This window comes from Homo sapiens, chromosome 3, assembly GCF_000001405.40.
Source record: "Homo sapiens chromosome 3, GRCh38.p14 Primary Assembly".
Taxonomy (NCBI): domain Eukaryota; kingdom Metazoa; phylum Chordata; class Mammalia; order Primates; family Hominidae; genus Homo; species Homo sapiens.
This window is the reverse complement of record NC_000003.12, coordinates 94945284-94968850: the sequence shown is the minus strand read 5'-3', so window position 1 is coordinate 94968850 and position 23567 is coordinate 94945284. Positions and strand designations below refer to the sequence as shown.

The window sequence follows — 23567 nt, the reverse complement described above, 5'->3', positions numbered from 1 at the left end:
TGATGTTGCCCAAGATATTCATTTTTAACAAGATCCCTAGATGATTCTGATGTGATACTAGATCAGAGTTGAGACACTACTAAAAACTATACAAATAATCAGAACTGCAACCTTCCTGGAATCCAAATGCTGTTTCCCAATCTTTTCTCCTTAGAAACTAGGTCTTCTCTCAGACTTATCTTAACATTTACAGGGACAAAATAATAGCAGCTGGAATGTATTAAATTGTTTGTATGCCTGACACTGTTCAGGAACTTTATGTGCATTTTCTCTTTTAATTCCTATAGCCATTTTAGTATGCAGGTCGTATTATTACCATATCCATTTACTAGATAAGTGGCAAGTAAGGTAGCTAAAATAGGTCATTAGGGCTCACACTAGTAAGTGGCAGAGCAAGAATCCTGGTGCAACTGATCTGGAACATAAGCTTTAGTCATGATGCTGTTTTGAGAGAAGCAAGTAAAGTCAGAAAGGAGAGAAGAGGAATTGGCTGGTAATTTTCTTTTTCTATCTTATGTCAGTTCTCTGCCTCTGCATTTTCTAGATTCCCCTCCCCTTTGTCTTCCTGTGAGCTTTTGCTCAGGAATATTACAGAGGAGGAGAAGGGAAAATGCAGAGAGCATCACTACCCATTTAGACAGCTTCTCTAAAATAATTGTGTCATCTCTATGGTCCAGCTCCAATCTGGCATCCCTACAATGGATCAAGCCTATAATAGGTGGCACCAACTTCTGGTCTCCAGTAATAACACCTTGTAATTTGATTCTTCCTGTCTTAGGTTGCAGCTTCCTACAGTTACAAATACCGTTTCCTCAATTTCCCCAGTTTGAACTTTCAGTTTTTCTATCTGTAATTCGTTCCCTGTATTTTCTCTATGAAACTATCTGATGTAAACTTTGTTTTCCTAATTGGAAACAGATGGACTCTAGAAGGAAATATGGTATAGCAGCAGTAAAGGTAAAATAAATCTTTAAAAAATGCTGATCCAGAAGCAAACATTCTTCTATTTTTTATTGTATTTACTCACGACCCTTGTCTATCTTGTCTTAGAAACCAGCAGTCAAGCCTGTATGTACTACCTCAACAGGCAGTTTTGATATCTGGATTGAGCAATGGGTGGGTGGGGAGGGGGTACCTGTTGGAGGCTAGAAGCTAAAGGAAAGGCAGATAAGTATATTTTTGTCCTGGCTTAATCCCATTGCTTGGCTTAGGATGATAGCATCCTTTTACTAAACACTAAGCTACTATAAAGTAAACATCTCCACATTCTTGGTACAAGTAATTCTTTCTTTTTATTAACTGGCAGGCCTAGACCTTCTTTTATGGTGGAAACTGCAATGCTTCACTCAGATTGCCCTTCGACAAAGAATGCGTTACCCACCTCCACCTCCTCTGGGGCAGCATAACTCAAGCAACTCTGATTTTAGCTACTGAGCTACTACCACATGGTTAGCTGTGGTTGTCTTGAGCTCACATTGTGCTGGAATCTTATCTCTATCCAATGTTGGTTTTTTCCTTTTTTTTCTTTTCCACAGCTGTTGGTCCTGGATCTGAGAGCACTCCTTAATAAACATCCTGTATGCCAAACTCAGTCTCAGAATCTACTTCTCTAAAAAAATTCCACCTACAAAACCCAGAAGACTGTACTTTCTTTTTTCCTTTTTCTTTCTTTTTTTTTTTTTTTTGTGACAGCATCTCGCTCTGTCACCCAGGCTGGAGTGCAGTGGTGTGATCTTGGCTCACTGCAACCTCAGCCTCCAGGGTTCAAGCAATTCTCTGCCTCGGTCTCCCCAGTAGCTGGGATTACAGGCACCTGCCACCACACCCGGCTAATTTTTTTGTATTTTTAGTAGAGATGGGGTTTCACCATCTTAGCCAGGCTGGTATTAAACTCCTGACCTCGCGATCCACCCATCTCAGCCTCCCAAAGTGCTGGGATTACAGGCGTGAGCCACTGCGACTGGCCAAGACCACTTTCTACTGTGTTGGTCTCCATAAACACTAATCAGACCTCTGTAAATAGATTCAGTTATCTAGTTTGAATAGGCCATCTGTTGCCACTAGGAAATGAACTGATACAGCCTTGTTAGACACTTTATTTCCTCTGAGTATGATGAAAGCTACTAACGACTTTTGGACAGAGGGGTGATATGATGAGATTTAAATCAGATAGACTGCTCTATGAAGAATACACTACAGGAGGACAAGGGCAGAAGGAATGAGATAGGTGAGAAAGTTATTGCAGTAATACAGATATGAATGATGGCAGCTTAGGCCAGGGTTGTAGTGGTAGTGAAAATCACTCTGATTTGGAATACATTTTAAAGTGGGCCTACAATATTTACTAAGAAGTGATGTGAAAGAAAGAGACCAGCCCACTGTAATTCCACATTTTTTATTTCTATCAATTAGAATATTTGAGTTACATTTTCTGAGATGGATATGGTTGCAAAAATTGCAATATAAGACATGAAAATAAAAAGGTAACTTTTGAATGCTAGTTCTTGGGTGCTTTTGTATACCTGACTGAAAATGTCAACTCGACAATTTATATACCAGTCTGTACATGAGGGATAATATCAGGGCTGGATAAGTATAGTAGAAAGTCATAAAACTTTAAGACAACACTTAAAGCAATGTCAATAAGAAACAGTGAGTGACACTAGAAAAGAGAAGGGGTTCATAGGTTGAACCTTGGGTACTGTAAAGTAAACAAGTTAGAAGAGAACAGCAAAGAAGACAGAAAAACAGCAACTAATGATATAGGAAATGAACCAAGGAAAATGTGCAAAAGTGTTTGAAGAATGAGGAAGTGGGCAACTGTATCAAATTCTATTGACAGAAGTAATAAAAGACTAAGAATGAAACGTGGTATATCAAAGTGAAGATCATTGCTGAGTTGGCAAAGACTGTTTTGTTGTACTGGTAGAGATGAAAGCTTAATTGTAGTTTGATTTACAAAATTCATGGAAATACATTAAAGAGATTATACACCGTAATCAAGTGTGATTTATCCCAAGGAGCAAGGATTGTTCAAAAGACAATCAATAAATGTGCTACATCATTTTAACAACATGAAGGATAAAAACTACACAGTCATCCACAGATGTAGAAAAAGCATTCAACAACATTTTACACCTTTTCATGATAAAAATGCTTGACGAATTGGGTATACAAGAAATGTACCACAACATCATAAAGTCCACATATAAGAAATCCACAGCTAACATTATACTCAATTGTGAAAAAATAAAAGCTGTTCTGTTGTAGGAAGTCAGGGAACTTATAAAATCAGCAACAACATGAAAATGCTCAGTCTTACTACTTCCATTCAACTCAGTACTAGAAATCTTAGCTACAGCAATTAGGCAATAAAAGGCACCCATATTGGAAAAGAAGAATTTAAAATGTCTCTGTTTGCAGATGACATGTTCTTGTATATAGAAAACCCTAAAGACTAAAAAACATAAAAATAAAAAACAAAAACAAAACATTATTAAACACTGATGAAAGAAATTAAACACAAATAAAAGGAAAACATCCCATGTTGTTTGTTGGGAAGAATTAATATTATTAAAATATCTGTACTATTTAAGTGATCTACAGATTTAATATAATCCTATCAAATTTCAATGTCATTTTTCACAGAAATAGGAAAAACCAATTTTTAAATTCATATGGAACCACAAAAAACTCCAAATAACCAAAGTAGTCTTGGGAAAGAAGAAAAAGCTGGAGGCATTGCACTTACTTACTTTAAAATATATTACAAAGCTACAGTAATTTAAATAGTATGATATTGGTATAAAGACAAAAATATAAACCAATGTAGCAAAATAGAGACCCTAGAAATAAATGGATGTAAATATTTTCAGTTGATCAACAAGGGTGCCAAGAATACATGGGAAAAATTATAGTCTCTTAAACAAATAATGCTAGGGAAACTGAATTTCCATATGCAAAAGGATGAAATTGGACCCCTATCTTACACGATATATGAAAGTCAACTCAAAATGTATTAAAGACAAATGTAAGATCTGAAACTGAAAAACTTCTCAAAGAAAACACAAGGGAAAAATTTCTTGACATTTGTCTGGGCAATTATTTCCTGAATTTGACACTGATAACGCAGACAACAAAACCCCTCAAAATAAATGGGACTACTTCATATTGAAAAGCTTCTGTACAGGAAAGAAAATGATCAAGAATGAAAAAGACATCATATGAAATGGGAGAAACTATTTGCACACCATCTATCTCATGGTTTGGTTAATATTCAAACTATATGAGCAGAATGTGTAAGGATATCCTACAACTCAATAGCAAAAGAAAAAAAAAGAAAAAGAAAAGAAAACCTAATTTAAAAATGAGCAAAGGGCTTAAATAGACATTTCTCCAAAGAAAACATACAAATGTCCAACAGTTACATGAAAAGATACTCAATACCACTAATCATCAGAAAAATGCAAATATAAACCACAATGAATTATCACCTCTCATCTGTTATGATGACTATTATAAAAAAAAAAAAGATAACAAGTGTCAGTGAGGATGTGGAGAAATTAGAACCCTTATACACGATTGATAGGAATGTAGGATGGTACACTCACTATGGAACACAGTATGTAGTTTCCTCAAAAATGCGATAATAATATACACTATTATTGTCATTCAATGATGAGCCTGATGAGTTAAAAATATACATAGGAAAAGCAGAACTGCGGCATAAACTTGTTATCTCTATTCTAATTTTAGCTCTTCTCTTTCTCTAGTACTCAGAGTTTACTGACTATGGTAGAGATTTGTAAGAGATAAATGCAGGTATAAATAGTTAATGCAAAAAATTCAAAATCATTCCATTACATTTCTGTTTTATGCATGAACTACCTGTATACAGGGTATTTTTAAAAATACTTTAGCTTTCTTTCACTTATTTTCCATTGTCCAAATTGTTATTCAAAATGTGAGTACTTTTTATAAAATTATTTTATTTGCTAGATATCTAAATAACTCCATAGACAAGTCCTATATATTTTTCCCAACCATGAAATTCTAAGTAGTTGTGTTATAAATTAGATTTTTGTGTGTGATTCTAAGAAACTAATATGCTTATAATGAAATGAGATTCCATTTCAGTACTGCAGAGGATTACACAGCATAATGATGATTAAAAATACTTTGAAAGAGTCTTATTCAGAGACAAAGCTTTAAGAAAATCCTATATTATTAAAAAAGATACTAAATCATTCAAGTATTATATACATTATTTCTTAATAGCAAAGTATTTGTGATTTACAATATAAATTGTTACTTAGTATTCTATTTAAGCTGTCTCAAAAAATGGCATATAAAAATAAATATACATTTATAATATTATTTGATAGCACAGAAGTCAGGAAATTGTTATAGCTTCCTTTTACAGTACAAGCACTTCATTCTCCATATGACCACATAATATTTAAATTCTTTTCTCAAAAGCACTTATACGATCTCTGAAGGTCATAAATGAATTTTGGTCTAGGAATAAAAGATATTTAATGTATATATAAAAATTATCAACATTATTTTGAATTTCTACTCATAAATGGAAACAGAATTGGCTCACTTAAAGGAATTTATCTATTTTAAACCTCTAAGATTTCAAAACATTCAACCTAGTGTTCATTTATTACTATAATTTGTCATTGATTTAAATTTAATCCTATGATTACATTTTTTCTATTAAGGGTGAATTTTCTATTACTCTCTACTTACTTGTAAAATGACAAGGATTATTAGAAGTTTTCCAGTACATATCATAGATTATTTTGAAAACGGCTGAAAGTACTCCCCTTTTTTAGTCACCTTTTGCAATTTGACTTTGAAGTTCTTCTCATCAAGTGGTAGTTTATGTTGTTTGTATTTTGGTTCAGTTCTTGGCTTCATAAAGGAATATTGTAGCATCAGTAACTGCTAATTGTAATTAGAAGAAAACAAGCTCTGAACAGAAGATAGTTCCCAAGTCAAACAACTTTTGATCAAATATAATTTCAAGATACATGTGTATTGAATGAGAATACTCTGAAAAAGTATCAAAAATCTTACTCCTTCATCTTTATTACTAAAATGCATACTGTGAAACCCATGATTATAGAAATGCTATAGCCCATTCCTCAACTTCTATTTTAATAACTAAGAACCCTGGAGAGCAAGTCATTATTCAGAATGATACTTTACAGCATTGAGAAATTTGACATGAACTGTGATTAATGTGACTCTGATCAAACACTGTGCAATGCTGAGATTTCAATTTGAGTTTTTAAATTAGCTTCTTTCTCACCATGCTAAAATCAAACATCCACTGATTAAATGAAAATAAATTATAAAGCAGAAGGATAAATTTTGAATCAGAAATTACATTTTTATCAATTGACTTTTAACTTATTAAAATATATATATTTTCTATTTGACCTACAGAGAGGCAAGTGAGAGAATTAAAAATAAAATTGAAGAAAGCACAGCATGACTCCTCAGGACAAACTTTTTAAAGGAAACATTGGCAAATCATCATAAAAATGTTTTTAAGAAAAGTCAAACACATAGATTCTACTATTCTATTGTAAGGACCAAATACAAATTTAAAACTAGGGGCTTAATTCTCTGTTGAAAATAAGGGAAAAGATTTTCCTTTCTCCCTTTTTCTTTGGGCATTTACTTTAAAACTTATAAGTACACACTTTCTGTTTTTTGAAATGTATATAAATCCTTTCGAAGACTAGATTGGCCTTTTGTCAACTTTATGACCCAATAATGTCTTTCTCAAAGACCTGAAACATCTCTCTGACATGTAAACATCAAGAGAGATAGCACCCATATCTCCCAGTTTCTTGGGAGGGTAGAAACCTAATGTCAGTGGATACCAAGCTTTAAGTTGTAAAATTACCTTCTGCCATGAAAACCTGATAAGCCTGTTTTTCCTCCAGATAAAGTCAATAAGCTAACACAGGTGGTCACCACAATTGCCAGGTAAAGTTAGGATAAACTACATGTGATAAATAGTACTATCAAGTGCTCTTACTTAAAGACTATTTTTTATCTTGAAAACATATATGTAATGGGTTATATCTGCTTGGCTATGTACAAGAGTGAGATTTACAATCTTTTAGCGGATTGCCTGTGATGTTCGTTATACTCTCATTTAATAGAGCTGTGTTTGCTCAACGATGGCGACACATTTGAGAATGTGTCCTTAGGCAATTCTGTAATTGTACAAACATCGTAGAGTGTACTTACACAAACCTAGATGGTATGGCCTACCATACACCCAAACTATCTGGTATAGCCTATTGCTCATAGGCTGCAAACTTGTACAGCATGCTACTATAGACCACTGTAACACAACGGTATTTGTGTATCTAAACATATCTAAAAGTAAAAAATGTACAGTAAAAATAAAGTGTTACAATCTACAGCACCGCTGGCATATATGCAGTTCATGACTGTACTTATCCAATGGTAAAGATGCTATCTTTCTCCACTATTACTGTGGAGTTTTCCAGATTGGAAAATTTTTGTTTTTAATTATAATTACTCACACTATCTTGAATTAAATTAATTAAATTAAAAACTTTAGCAACACTGCAAATCACTTAATGACTCAAGGTAGGACAGAGGTGGAGCCCAGAGAGTGTATAGACAGGTGCTATGGTCTGAATGTTTGTACCCCACAAAATATTCAGATGTTGAAATTCTAACCCTCAACGTTATAGTATAAGAAGCAGGGCATCTGGGGTGGTGATTAGGAGCAAGAAGGTGCCATCTATGAGAAAGAAAGTCTTTACCAGACATCAAATCTGCCAGAGACTTCATCTTGGACTTCTCAGCTCTCAGATCTGTGAGAAATAAATTTCTATAGTTTATAATTCACCCATTCTGTGGGATTTTATTATAGCAGCCCGAATGGATAATCTAAGGGAACAGTTATTTTAAGAAAAAAAAAAAAAGGAGCCTCATCGAAACTATGCTTGGGATACTTGGAAAAAAATTATCTGTAGAAGAAACACCAGAAAAATAAAAACAAAGATGCCTAACACATAGAGTACTTTAAAGAATACTTATATTATAATGCATATGTTAAAATATTTTACAGCATTATAATTATAATATTACACTTTTTACCATACTTGGCCTTAACATTTGTAGGAGAAAAAAAAATCTCCAAAAATTGCATTTAACAATGGCATTTACTAAAAATAGAGTTTTATACGTTGAAAATTTGTTGCTTTATTTCTTTCCCTCTCTTAATTTATTTAAATTTCCACCCCCTAAAAATAAATCTCATTTTATAAATATGCAATAAGCATACTGTAGGAGTTTTAAGATACAATAAGCTTTCTTCCTATGTTTAAATTCATTTAAAATATTTTATTTCAGATTTTTGTAGGTTTGTCAAAACACTCTTCATTTGTCTTAGTGCATGAGTTTAAGTGTTCATTATAAGCAAATGATTTCAGAGTATAACAGGTAAATACATGCATAGCTAAGTTCAGTCTAGAAAAATGAATCTTAGTGATTACTAATTCTGTCTCTTTTTATACTCTAGGTCCTTTTACAACTGAATAGCTAAGAGAGCTGCATTTTTTTCTTGAATTAATTATATTTTTACCACAAACAAATATTTAAGATATTTCTAAATTATCATTGCCATGAAGAAGCTGATTACATTGTAGGCCATATAAAAGTGCATGATTTTCTCATAATTTTTAGAATTTCCAAATTCCTATTTTAAAAGATCCTGATCTTGACTGGTGGCTCACACTCTGCAGCATGCAAAAAAGGTAACCAACCTCAAGCTACAGACTATTCTCTTTACCTTATTTGAATCTTGAGAGTATCAAGAGTTTGGTTTGCTAACTACCCTATAAAATGAAACAGGCTGCGCCCGGTGGCTCATGCCTGTAACCCCAGAACTTTAGGAGGCTGAAGCGGGTGGATCACCTAAGGTCAGGAGTTCAAGACCAGCCTGGCCAATGTGGAGAAACACTGTCTCTACAAAAAAATACAAAGAATTAGCTGGGCGTGGTGGCAGGCACCTGTAATCCCAGCTACTCGGGAGGCTGAGGCAGTGAATCACTTGAACCTGGGAGGCAGAGGTTACAGTGAGCTGAGATCACGCCATTGCACTCCAGCCTGGGCAACAAAGAGTGAAACTCTGTCTCAAAAAAAAAAAAAAAAAAAGAAAAGAAAGAAACAATTGTCCTAAGGTGTTAAAAATCTTCTTGTTATTGTTATTAGATCTGAAATAAGCTGAGCAGTATATTTGTCCTTTGATTCTGTTTAGGGCTACTGCAAATTACAAAAATATAAAGATTAGTTTTTCATATTGGTTAGAAAGATAAAAGGTCATATTTAAACAAATCAATAGAAAGTAATTTTTCACCAAAAACAATCAACAGTCATGATGGTCATTATGATCCGAAACAAACCAGCTGCAGATATTAGTGAAGGAATTGAAGCACTGTGTGGCAAAATGTAGAAGGCAGGAATTAATTGAGTGTTGTCCTTTTATTTGATTGCATCTATTTAAAGTTTGCTTCCACGCCCTCAACCTCATGCCATAAATCAATTGCATAATATTTACATAGAATGTCCCAGTCAATGTATTTGTCCTTACTTCAAGATCACATCTGAGTTTTTTTTCAAATCTTTATTTTAACTTAGAAATCATAATAGAATGTTCTGTGTCCTTTAAATTATGTGGTCCAGTTAGTTTTTAAAAGATAAACTAATTTTAAGTAATTTACTATGTAATGAAAATTATGATAACAAGGGTGCAACAAAATAGTTGTGGCAAATAAACATCTAAACATGATGGGGCTATAAAATAATATCTGTATACATTTTATGGTGTTGCATAATAGTATTAATTCTATTAACAATGCATATTAATACCAGAGAGTACTATTTAAAGATAATACCAGAGACTACTATTGAAAAAATAGGACTAAACATTCTCTACCTACTCTCGTCTACCCATTTTGTCAAATGTCTCTCCATAAGCAGTAGCTCTAATTGTGCAGGATAATCAGGAATCAGGGAGAGTATTTTATTCATCCAACAATAAGACTAGACTTTCTGTATTTTAATTATAGAAAACCAACATCTAAATCTCAAACCAATGGTGTGTGTGTGTGTGGGGGGGTTATATGCAATTCAAAACATGACTATTTATTTTATCCACTCACCTCTAGAATTCCAAGTTCCTCATAATGAGGCAGCTTGTTTTCTTAATTTTTCTCATTTCAGATACCGTCTCTATTACTTCAGAACAAGAATATTGATTGCACTTGGTGAATTAAGATATGAAGGACTGAAATTTAACCTTTCAGTGAAAGTTTTTAGAAGATTGAAATGGTTTTGAAAAATTGAAGTTTGCATTCATACCAATAAAATCAAAACAATGGGCCAGGTGCAGTGCCTCATGCCTTTAATGCAAGCACTTCGGGAGGCCAACGCAGATGGATCACCTGATGTCAGGAATTTGAGACCAGCCTGGCCAACATGGTGAAACCCCAGCTCCACTAAAAATACAAAAGTTAGCTGGGCATAGTGGCAGGCACCTGTAATCCCAGCTACTTGGGAGGCTGAAGCAGGAGAATCACTTGAATCCAGGAGGCAGAGTTTGCATTGAGCCGAGATAGTGCCACGGCCCTTCAGCCTGGGCTACAAGAGCAAAACCCCACCTCAAAACAAACAAACAAACAAAAACAATGAAATTATTTAACTCTGCATTTACAAAGAAAATGAAGTTAAAAGGTATAGAATGTATGTATATATACACACATATATATACATATATATTCCTCCATATATATGCCTTTGTGCCTATATACATGCGCACACACACACACAAAGGAGGGTGCACATATGTGTGCATACACACACACACACACACACACACACACGGAGAGAGAGACAGTATGGTCCAGAAAAGGCCACTGATAAAGCTGCAGAAAACTGTATCTTAAACTATTTGTTATGAAAATATACCACAACAAATAGACAAATAGCCTCTATAGATCATTAATAAATACTTTGCATTTAAACACATAAGAGGGTTTGGGAGGTATAATTAGCAGGGTAAAGCCATGAGGAATATTATATTTGGGTTGAAATGAGGTGTGACTTTGAAGCAATAGTTTTTTTTCTCTATAGATGTAGTTTTGAAAAAGCATGATAAAAATGAATTTCTTACCCCCAAACTAAATAAATAAATATTTCAGTTACTGTAATATAATTATTTACACTTGACTTTGTCACTTCTTGTGTTAAAATTTAAGAACTTATTTTATATTCTTGAATCTTATTTCCTTGGCAGTAAAGATTATTAGACTAAATATTGGTGTTTTTGAATAATAATGTCTAGTGGTAATACTGTTTTAAGAAAAAAAAGAAAAAGCAAGGGAGGAAGGGAGGAAAGAAGGAAAGAAGGGAAGGGAGGAAAGGAAGAAGGAAGGGAGAAAGGAAGGAAGGGGAAACAAAGGAGGAAAGAAAGAAAGGAAAAAGTGATAGGGAGGAAAAAAGAGTCATGTTATTTAAAGGTGCAAAACCTGAATGCTTAGAAAACAAAAACATATTCAATAACTTACTTTCTAAAAATAGTACCTCAGCACATTTATTTATTATTTTAAAATATGTGTCTATTCATATATGTATATAAACCGATTAGATAAAAACTTTCAATTTGTCTAAGATTCAGGTTGATTGGTTGATACTGCCAAAAAAAAAAAAGAAAGAAAAACATGTCTTTTTAGAGCAGTAAATCTCTCCGACAAATAGATTAAATGAGAAGAATTTTGAAACTTAATTGTTTTCCAGGCTGCACACAACATCTGATGCTTGATTCATTTTTTTCGTAAATAGATGTCTCCATGTACAAATAAGTGTAACATTTGATATATTTTGTAGGCATTGATATATTTGTACAACTGGAGCTCCATTTACCTGCCTTTTCCAGCACAAAGTATTGGTGGTTAACTTTAACAGGTCTTGCCTTTGATTTTATTTAATTGCACCGTATATTTAAGCTTTATGTTATACTATTGCTATCATGTGTCTGTAGAAAAAGTCCAAAATGTTTGGAATCTTTCCTTTTTGCTCTGCTTTTTTCTTTCATTTTATTTACTGATTCAGTTTTTCTTTTCCTGTGATTTACTTGTAGTTACAGCAGACTTGAATGCCTCTCATCTTGCCAGGAACGGGGACTTTCCATCACATTACCTCCTCTGTATTTAGATAATTCCACTAGGTCTCAATAAAGCAGAGAATTGATTTTTAAGATCTTGATGTTAACTCTCCGGATTTACACAATATCAATCTATGAGTTCTTCTTTGCTTTATTTATTTTTTCCTTTTTTTTTCTTCCTGCCAAAATGACTTCATGACTTAGCCTCTGAAGAGGCTTTTCCTGCATTAAGCTATATTTTCTGTGGTGTTATAAGATCCCGGGGCAAAAGCATTAGTAGCATTATTTCTTCTTTTTACTTAATTGCATTTTAAACATAGTACCAAACAAGGTACTTTCTGTTTACCCCCATTTGGACATATCCTGTCCCCTTTGGAAGCAGCAAGTGTCAGCGAGGGCAATCAATGAAGCAAGCAGCCATAACTGCCAAGCAGAAAAGCTGGCTTGCAAAAAGTCACTATACCAATAGAATGAGCCTAATTTTATCCCAATTTTGTAATTCTCTCTATAAAGCAGTCCAATATATAGAATATGTGAAGGGATATGGATGAATAACTTATGTAGCTTATTTGTAATAGCTAACCAGTTTTGTAAGAGATACAAGTATGCAGGAATTAACTCAGTATTCTAAGTTTTATTTATTAACGCCAAGAAAGTGATTTTCCACTGTAAAAGCAATTTCATTCTTTGTTACCCCACCCTTCATTTCAACCTTTGAGTTTTTCCTCAGGACTGCTTCTCAGATGAACTCAGCTATAATTCCTATTTAATATTTACTTCTCTTTAAATATGACATTTCTAGTTTTCACTTAATTATGGAAGGAAATGTATCATCAGTAATCAGAAACAGATCATAAATGGTTTTGTCTTTGCTTCTTTGTCTCATCCACCAAATATTCTTAGTTTTTCCCATTTTTATGATGATAAAAAGTAAATATTACCCTTATCCCCTCTTCCTTTTTTGAGGACCAGGAAAATTTCAGTATAGCACAAATAAACATTTATTTTTCTAAGTATATTTCTGCACTTTTCCTGCTTAAAACAATAATTGCATTATTCTATACTAAATTGGCTACCCAGTACATGGGACGACGTTAATAATTGAACTGTCAAATCAGACTAATACAAATCAAATATCTTGCTTAATATCAAGCTTTACTAATAATTTGAAGGGTGCCATCATCAGTCAATAGGCTCAGATGAAGCAGAGAGGGGCCTGGAACATCAAGAGCAGCTCCCTATGTCCTGTTTTCCCACAACAGAAATGTGTCCTTCTCTACAGAGTAATAGATGAGGTCTCCAAGAGAGCTAACAGCAGAAAGAGTATGTGAGTTTTCAAACATTTCTGTTTTGTACAACAAGGTGTTGTACAGCTTGCACTAACTACTCCAGGGAGCCATGGTTCATAAATCCATAGATACTCTTTACTATAGGCAATCCTTAACCAAGGACATTCTGCTAAAGGCACTTCAAAGATAAAGTTTCTTCTTCCTAGCAAATATCACTTGTCTTTCAACCTAGAGTCCAGATGACACAGTTATTAGACCTGGTAAACCGCCTCTTTTCTTCCCTTGGGAGGTGACCCAAGTAAAGAAAATGAGTGTTCATCCGGTCAGCTTCTGTATGTATCTATGTATCTCCTCCTTTGCCAGAGCTATAATTTTGATGTGAACACAATAGATTTTCCACAGTTTGTGTGACCCTATCATATACAGAGTAAACATCAAGTTAGAATTGTAACTTGTCCTTCCTCACATTGATCTAGTCTCTGCGTCTCTGTTTAGTTGTATCTCCTGCCATATTCCTCCTCATACTGTGCCCTACTACATACCTGAGTCGTTTTTCCTCAGCCGATTTGAGGTTTCTCCACAAACAATGACGTTACATGCTTCCTTGCCTTTATCCTTGCTCCTTTCTCTGGCAGGACCACCTTCAACCTGTCTTCCCTGACATATTGATGCCAGTTTGTCCTTATAGATTCAATATAGGCATCGCCTACTTCAGGAAGTCTTCTATCTCACCCCAGTATGAGATATGATGACCTTTTCTTTGCACCTTGCATCCCATACCTGTCTTTCTTTAATGTTACAAACTTTATTGGCTTGGACTTTAACTCCACCCCACTTTTTTCCCACATAATTCAATTTGAGGACACCATATTTATGTCTCCTACATATTTATTTCCACAAGTTCTGGTTTATTGAATTACAAATACTGATACAATCTTTATTCAATACATTATTCCTTATAAGGATGGGATAAGGATGGGATAAATTGGAACAGTAGGGATTTATACACTATTAAATTATTTGTTATATATCAATCCAGGGGCCCCAATGATATTGTGAAATTTAGTATAGGTTTTATCTCTTCAAATCTGTCGAGTTCTGAATATAGTTCAATCACTTTAAAAAATGTTTTACATGTTTTAAATAATTTCAACTTTTATTTTAGATTCAAGGGGTACATGTTCAGGTTTGTAACATGGATATATTGTGTGATGCTAAAGCCTGCCCAAATGATCACGTCACCCAGGTATTAAGCATAGTGCCCAACATTAGTTTTTCAACCCTTCCCCCTCCCTCTCTCTCACCTCCATATCCCCCAGTATCTATCGTTGCCACTTTTATGTCCATGAGTACCTAATGTTTAGTTCCCATCTATAAGTCAGAATATGTGATTTTTGGATTTTTGTTTCTACATTAATTTGCTTAGGATAGTGGCCTCCAGCTGCAGACATGTTGCTGCAAAGGACATGATTTCCTTCTGTTTCATGCCCATGCCTATTTTAATGTTCAAATTGTATTAACAATTTCTCATATATTTCCTGATAGGTAGAAATCTTGTTTTATTGCCGCATTCCCAAAATTGAATCCATAATCCCAGTATAAATATTCAAATTCCATAAATAAAGGGCATTTTTAAATTACTAAATAAACACCTACTTAATGAACTAAGCTTCTCTTAAGACAATCTCATTCTTTCCATTAAAAAAAAAAAAAAAAAACTGTGCAAGTTGCTGTAGATATGGCAGTAGGTAAGATAGCCAGAACCCTGCTCTCATCTGACGGCATAGGGTAGTGCTGCTCAGGAAGTTCTCTACTAGCCACCTACGTCAGGATTTCTTGCATGGACAGAAAACTAAAATGCAGATGTCTAGGCCAAATACATGGCCAAAATGTCAGAACTCTGAGCATAGATTCCAGGCATTTGCATTTGCCAGGTTGCTTATCATACACACAAGACTTGTGGATCTCTAGCTTACTTGAGACAAAATTCCAAGTATAATTTCATAAATTAAGATTGATTCAATGGTTAAGTTTTACTATACAAAAGCAGCCAGGCCATAAAGCATGTGTTTTCTTCATTTCAACAATTATAGGATTCCAATAGAGTCACATAAAAATCATCCGTGCTATGATAGGAGACACACACATACACACACACATTTTACTGCAGGAAGCAAAACTGCTCAAAATTAGACACATTTCTTAATACTTGGTAAACCCTGACAACTTACAAAATAAAAAAGACCCCTGAATACTCCTGAATTTTTGAGCTTTATAGATATTAATCATATATCACTCATAATCATTACAATATATGCCAATTTGCATCACTGTAAATTATATAAGGTTTCTGGAGAATATATATGTATATATATTTTTCCCCTGAGGTGTGTTTTTATTTTATATGTGTAGAAAATTTTTTAAATATATGTCCCTTTTCTTCCAAAAAATTGGCTATTACTTGAAATCAGTGACTGAACATCCTTTATAATTCCTATTTGTCCATAGCAAAATGAGAGTATCAGAGAACATCAAAGCTAACAGAAAAGCAGTTGAAAAGTAAAGTTTCTACTTTAAAAAGCAAAATATAATATATAGAAAATAAAAAGTCCAGTTATGATTTGTTCATTTAATTTGTTTAGAAATAAATATAGGGACACTGTTTCTATACTCTTATCATACTTTCTTACACTATTATTATAAAACTGGAAAACTCCATTTGCAGTGGCTTTAGGGCATTGCAGTTATATTTAGAGAAAACTGAACATCAGCCCTAGAATTTTAGGAAAGATGGACCCAGACTATCAGAAAGAGTAAGAGAGTGTTAATCTGAATTTTTTCCCTGAGGTGTGTTTTATTTTTCAGTAGGACATAAGAAATATGTATCTCCCAACTCAGTACTGTTAAAGAAAAAAAAGACTCTTAATATTATTTCTTCTCCAAACAGTTTTTGAGGACCTTGTAATATCATAATCACACAGTTTCTCTGTAAGCCTTGCTCAAATTTTTTTAAAGAGCCCAGTTTCAACTGCCTTCCACTTGGAAGAATGGGACCTTAATTGTCTTGTTTTTTTTTTTGTCAGTCTTATCTAACAATGATTGTTTTTGTCTTACCAGTTAATTCTTAAATTCAAAAACTAAAATTCACACATTATTAAATAGGAATAATACACATAATTTATGTTAATTTAATGTGTATGAAATATTTTAACAAGTATTTGCTGTGACAAAGTCACTCAGACTTTAAAAAAGAGAAAATCAGACTCATAAATATATTTTATGTTATTTCACTTTTATTCAATGCGTGTGTAACCACATACTGAATTTCAGGTCATAAAGAAGGCATGATAGTGATAGAAATATGAATAAGACATATTTTACATGTTAAGGAAGCTCACAGCTTACTAAATGAAAGAGAACATGTAGTCAAAAAATGTACTAGGAGCTAGAAAGGATTAACACCAAAATACAAATAAATATAAATCATGTTTTATGAATTTTGATAAGATATTTAACAGCTTTATTTCTTAATTTTCTCATTTGAATATGAGAATAATAATGACAAGATGGAAGAATTGTTTATAGGATTAATGACAATATGATACAGTATTGTTTCATTCTATTAGTAGGTCCTCAAGAGATTAGAACTATTATCATTTTTACTTAAGAGACCTTCATGAAAGCAGAGAAGTTTTATCTGGAATTAAAAGAAAAGAGAGAGAGAGAGACAAGGAGACACATGTGATGTTCCCAGTGGGAGCTCAGAAGCAGATAAAACATTCCAGGTGTATACAAGAAAAGACATTAAAAGAGCATTTTTTTATTCCACAAAGACTAAGAATAAATTCTTAATAGAAAAACATCTCCACTGATTTGATTTAATAAATGAATATTAATTAATATTTTTTCACAAATGTTCTAGAAAGGTAGGCCACTTGGATCATGTTATTTTTTTTTGTATAGTAATGCATTATTTTTCCCTCAAAAAAGAAAGCAGAATAGACTAAACAACTCAGTGTAAATTGGTCAGTAAGGTAGGATCTATGCAGATAAATAGAATAAAACCATTAAAATTTTAACAATTCAAACATGACCACCACTATCCATGAACAATGATATGACGTGTAGTTTAAAAAATGTGATTGCCGTTAGAATATAACCATATCTTTACAATGAATAATACACATGTTGGCTTTGAGAGTAAGTGTAAGCATCAGAATGGAGGGAATGCTGCTGTTTTCGGAAAGAAGAGAGTAGCGCACATTTATCACTGCTCCATAATGTGCATGCACATCAAATAGTTATTATTTAGTCTGGGAATACTGATGCACTTGAGACAACTCATACTAAAACTCCTCAAAAAAAAAGGAATTCGTTCTTCGATAACCCTTTATCATTGTAAAACAATGTCTTTTAATATTTCCTCCTACTTTGTTTAAACAAAATCAAAATTATATGAAAATAAATTTTGGTAGAATTCTGATGCTTAGAGATACTTCCAAGCTTTTATTGGCAGATACTTTTTACTATTAACTGTGCCAAGAGAAACAGCAGGTATTTCTCTTGCCTGTCTTTTGGGGTGGAACTAAGTTCCCTAGTCATTTTATATTTTATCAAAGCTGCCAATGTCACCATATTTGAATGTTCAATGGACAGAACTAGCATATTTCTTGCTGCTCGTGCTACATATTTTTTCCTAAGAATTATTCTCTCATTACTAGATTGTTTTACTTTTTTTATCTTTTCAAGGTAACATTAATAGGTTTTGCTGCCAGTTCTTCAAATGAAGTTAGGAAATTTGCCATTTATCTAAGTTGTTGAATGTTGCTGAAAAATCAAAATTTCATTCTGTAAGATTTTTGCTTAAGCCCATGCTTGTATTAGAGTTCTCCAGAAAACAAGATAAGCAACAGGATGTGTGTGTGTGTGTGTGTGTGTGTGTGTGTGTGTGTATACACACACAAAGAGACTTATGGGGAATTGGTTTACATGATTTTGGAGGCAGACAAATCCCAAGATCTGCTGTTGGCAGGAGTGAGATGCATGAAGAGTGAATGTCTCATTTCAAGTCCAGAGGCAAGGAAAAACTAACGTTCCAGCACAAAAGCATTCAGGCAGGAGGAATTTTTCTCCTATAATGAAGGGCCAGGCTTTTTGTTCTATTCAAACCTTCAACTGATTGAATGTGGCCCACTCATGTTATGGAGGGTAATCTGTTTTATTCAGTCTGTCAGTTTAAATCTTAACTCATCAAAAAACACCCTCGCAGAAACACCCAGAATAACGCTTGACTAAGTATCTGGACACCCATTGTTAAGTCAGGTTAGACACACAATTTAACCATCACAGCACCTGACTTCACATTAAAAAAATGCAAGTAAAAAGATGCAAATTTTTAATAGCACTAGAAGGTAGGTATGTTGATTAATGTTATGACAGGCTCTAGAATAAATGTTCATTACCTACAGCAGGAAGAGATCCTGAGAAATATTAGTGGAGGGTGAGAACTATAGAGAAGAATACTATACCCTTTTTAAATTGAATCTATAGATTTACTTTAGGGGAATAGAATCTTAATTGATTGAAGAAGAAAACTGTCTCTTACTAAATCTATGTGACTTCTTAGGGCATATTCACAGTATTTCTATTAGGACTTCTCTATCTATTTTAAGATTACATTTCCCAATATTGTACAAATAGTGTTAGACAATGCACATGCTATTACTGCATTTTAAGATAGTAGGAAGACCAAAAAATTAGGAAAAGCCACAGGAGCAATATACTGTGGACACAATATTGCTTTACACATTTATGCTAACTAAGGAGAACCTCTAGTTCTCCAAAAACAAAGTACTTTCCATATAGCCAGAGCTAAATATGCAACTAAATAAGTGTTTTATATTATAGCAGAGCCAGTTTAAGTAAATAACTTCCAGATAAAGAAGTTAGTTATAGCCTATGAATGATACTGAGATACTGAAATCATTTACCTGGTGAATGAGAGATACTGAGATGATCCAGCAGTCAAGACTCACTAAATTACACACACACACACACACACACACACACACACACACACCCCACATACACAAATATTCAAAAACTATTGCTTTGGAAACACAGAAAAAAGTTATATCTTTAAATTAAAGTTTTAAAATGAATAGCTGAATGTTAATTTATTTTCTTATGTTAATAACTAATAAAAACAATTTTTTGATGTTGTAAAAAAATGGAAAATAAATGAACCCACAGATCCAAGAAGTTCAAAGTCAAGCATGGAAACACAACACAACACCTTAGTTAAACGGCTTAAAACCAGTGATAACGTCTTAAAAATAGCCAGAGGAAAAAGACACATCATGTACAGATTAAACTGGACAGCAGATTTCTCACTTGAAACAATTCAAGTGAGAAAATTGTGAAGCAATTTATTTAAAGTAATAAAAGAAAAAAGGAATATTTTTCAAATACAAAGACCAAATCAAGACATTCTCAGTCATGCAAAAGCTGAAACAAATCTTACAAAGTCAGAAGTAGGAAAGCTGAAGCAATACAGCAGATCTGTACTACAAGAAAGTCAATTTTGCTTGTCAGACCACATCATCTCAGCCAACTCCTTAGCCTGACTAAGAGAAAGAAATGTCAAAATTAGTCCTTCAGCAAGAAAAATGATGCCAGATGTCACTGTGAATCCCCACAAAAATGCAAGAAATAGCAGAAATGGTAAGTGCGTAAGTATAATAATCTTTTATCACATTATTTAAATATATTTAAAAGATAATTGTGCTTAAAAAAAGACAATAATTAATAGACTTACAGCCTATGTAAAATTAAAATGTGTGGTATGAATAGAGCAAGTATCAGCAGAGGAGAACTGTACACATACCAACATCTGAAATTAAAATAGTCAATTCTGTTTTTTCTTTTTTTTAATTTATTTTTAGAAGAAGTCTCACTCTGTTGCCCAGGCTGGAGTGTAGCACTGGGATCTTGGCTCACTGCAACCTCTGCCTCCCAGGTTCAAGCAGTTCTCCTGTCTCAACCTCCTGAGTAGCTGGGCCTACAGGTGTGCACCACCACGCCTGGCTAATTTTTTGTTGTTGTTAAAATAATCAATTCTTTAAATAAAACCCACTCTTTTCAAACAACTTTTTCTAAAACACTTAGTCCAATGGACTTCAAACTAATCTGAAGTTACAATCCACTAAACCTACCACCTCTTTATTCTCTTTTTACCCTTATTAGAGTCTGTGGCCATCATTATCTTGATTAAACCTATGGTTCACTTAAGCCTGCCCCCTTTGTTACACACTTCTGGAAAATGTTTGGTTTAATCTGTCTATAGCTTACTACAAGCTAATAGAATCTCATTCCTGTATAGTACTTTTTATTTCTCTTGCCTTTAATCCAGGTAACTAATGAAGATTTTCTGAAAATCTGAAAGGGTTTTGGTACCAATTTGAGTTGACTCTAAGGGCCCTTAGTTGAAATAAAAGAAACTAACTTCCGCTAATTGAGTTTTCAGTGTCAGTAACAATGTCCCAAATCACTGCTCAAAACAGGTGAGAAAACCATGACCATCTCCACTGTAATCTAGATGTGGTTCTACTGACACTAATAGCACTAGATCAGTAATTGGCATGAAGCACATGCCACCTCAGAGTCCATCTTGCTGCAATTAGCCTGAACAAGAGAAAGAGATACTTATTGTCCCCAAATGGTTTAACCTTTTACTCTTAATTCAAAGTCTAGGGCAGTGCATCTGATAGATGTAGCTCAAATCACATGCCCAAACTCTGGCAACAAGAATGGCTGAGAAAATGATTATATACATTTCAACCTCCTTAGGCCTTGCCTTCCACTAACACTGATAGAATATTTATTATATATCACATCATAGGTGATAATGATAATATTTCAAGTTCCTGAAACTTAAAAAGATTGTTAAGATATGGGTGTTCAAGACTGGCTCAGGCTCCCAGCCTTCATCTTTCTTCTGTGCTGGATGCCATTGAACATAGGACTTCAAGTTTGTCAGCTTTGAGTCACAACTGGTTTCCTTGTTCCTCAGCTTGCAGACGGCCTATTGTGGGACCTTGTGATCATTGTGTGAATCTTTCACCAGCAACCAAGGTATTCAGGTTCTCTCATCAAAACTGACTAAGAGGTTGGCATGAGCCATGAGAGGAAGGAAGAACAGTGTAGTGTGGTAGCCCACCTGAGACCCACACTGAGCAAGCGACACCCCTCTCCCTAGCTAAGGGAGGCAGTAAGTGAGTGTGCTACCCAGCCGGGGAAACCATGCTTTCTCCACGGAACTGTGCAACCCACAGATCAGAAGATCCCACTCGCAAACCCGTGCCACCGGAGCCTAGTGTCCCAACCCTGGAATGCACAGATTCTCAACAGCCTCTCAGCTGGAATCTGCTGAAGACTAAGGAACTCCAGGGGGGAGGGGTGACCAGCACCGGCTGCCACTGCCTGCTAAGCCAGTTGAGCTCCTTGAGGGAGGGGCAGCAGCCAACACTGAGACTCTCAACTGCCTAACACACTAAGCTCCCTGAGCAGGAGAAGGGTGGCATCCATCTCAATAGCTCCAGACTGGGCTTTTCCCCTGATGCAGCCAGGGAGGCTGGATAGCTTGGTCTTCCACAGCCCAACACACCGGCTGTGGCCATCTGTGTGTTGACCCTGACCCATCCTTCCTCATTGGGAAGGGCTTCCTTGCAAGAACTCCAATAACTCCAGCCAGAGGCTCAGGGATAGAACCTGGATCTCCCTGGAAATGAGCCCCTGGGGGAGAGGTGGCCATAGTCTCCGGAGCAGCAGACTTAGCCTTTCCTCCTGGTAGTTCTGAGGAATCAGAGCAGCCCAGATGAGCGGGTTTCCCACAAGCAAAGCACACCCTCTCCACCAAGGACAAAGTGCTTCATTAAATACATCCCCTTCTCCATGTCACCCAACTGTGTGAGATCATCCAAGAGGGGTTGTCAGATACCCTATACAGAAGCGATCCTACTGGCATCAGATTGGAGCCCCTCGAGGTCAGAGTTCCCAGAAGAAAGGGCAGACACCCATCTTTCCTCTTCTATAGCCGCCTTGAGTGACATCTCCAGGCGTGGGAGTGAATCAGATGAATAGGACCTGAAGTGAACCCCTAACAAACTGTAGCAGCCCTGCAGAAGAGGGACCTGACCATTGAAAGTAAAACAAACTAACAGAAGCAACAACAAAGCATCAACAACAAATAAAGCCCCCAACAAAACCCATCCAAGGGTTAGCAGCCTCAAAAATTGAATCTAGACAAACTCACGAAGATGAAAAAGAATGAATGAAAGAATGCTGAAAACCCAAAAGGCCAGAGTGCCTCTTCTCCAAATGATCGCAACATTATTTCCATCAAGGACACAGACTGGACAGAGGATCAGATGGACAAATTGACAGAAGTAAGCTTCAGAAGATGGGCAACAAGAAACTACGCTGAGCTAGAGGAGCCTGTTCTAACCCAATACAAAGATGCGGAGAAACTTGATAAAAGGTTAGAGGGGTTGCTAACTAGAATAACCAGTTTAGAGAGGAACATAAATGACCTGATGGAGCTGAAAAACAGCATGAGAACTTCGTGAAGCATACACAAGTACCAATAACTGAATCAACCAAGCAGAAGAAAGGATATCAGAGGTTGAAGACCACCTTGCTGAAATAAGACATTCAGACAAGACTAGAAAAAAAAAAAAAAAGAATGAAAAGGAATGAACAAAGCCTCCAAGAAATATGGGACCTCATAAAAAGACCAAACCTATGATTGACTGGAGTACCGGAAGGAGACGGGGAGAATGGAAACAAACTGGAAAACACACTTCAGGATATTATCCAGGAGAACTTCCCCAACCTGGCAAGATAGGCCAACATGCAAATTCAGGAAATACAGAGAACACCACTAAGATACTTCATGTGAAGATCAACCCCAAGACACATAATCATCAGATTCTCCAAGGTCGAAATAAAGGAAAAACTGTTAAGGACAGCCACAGAGAAAGGCCAGGTCACCTACG

General features: G+C 35.0%; 1 long non-coding RNA gene across 1 annotated transcript in view; it reads right to left on the bottom strand.

Moving 5' to 3' along the window:
- LINC00879 (long intergenic non-protein coding RNA 879) overlaps positions 1 to 23567 on the bottom strand; it is a 53066-nt gene that overhangs the window by 22478 nt on the left and 7021 nt on the right. The window contains exon 2 of the long non-coding RNA NR_015400.2: positions 5755 to 5952. This is a non-coding gene — a long non-coding RNA (long intergenic non-protein coding RNA 879). The remainder of the gene's footprint in view (positions 1 to 5754; positions 5953 to 23567) is intronic.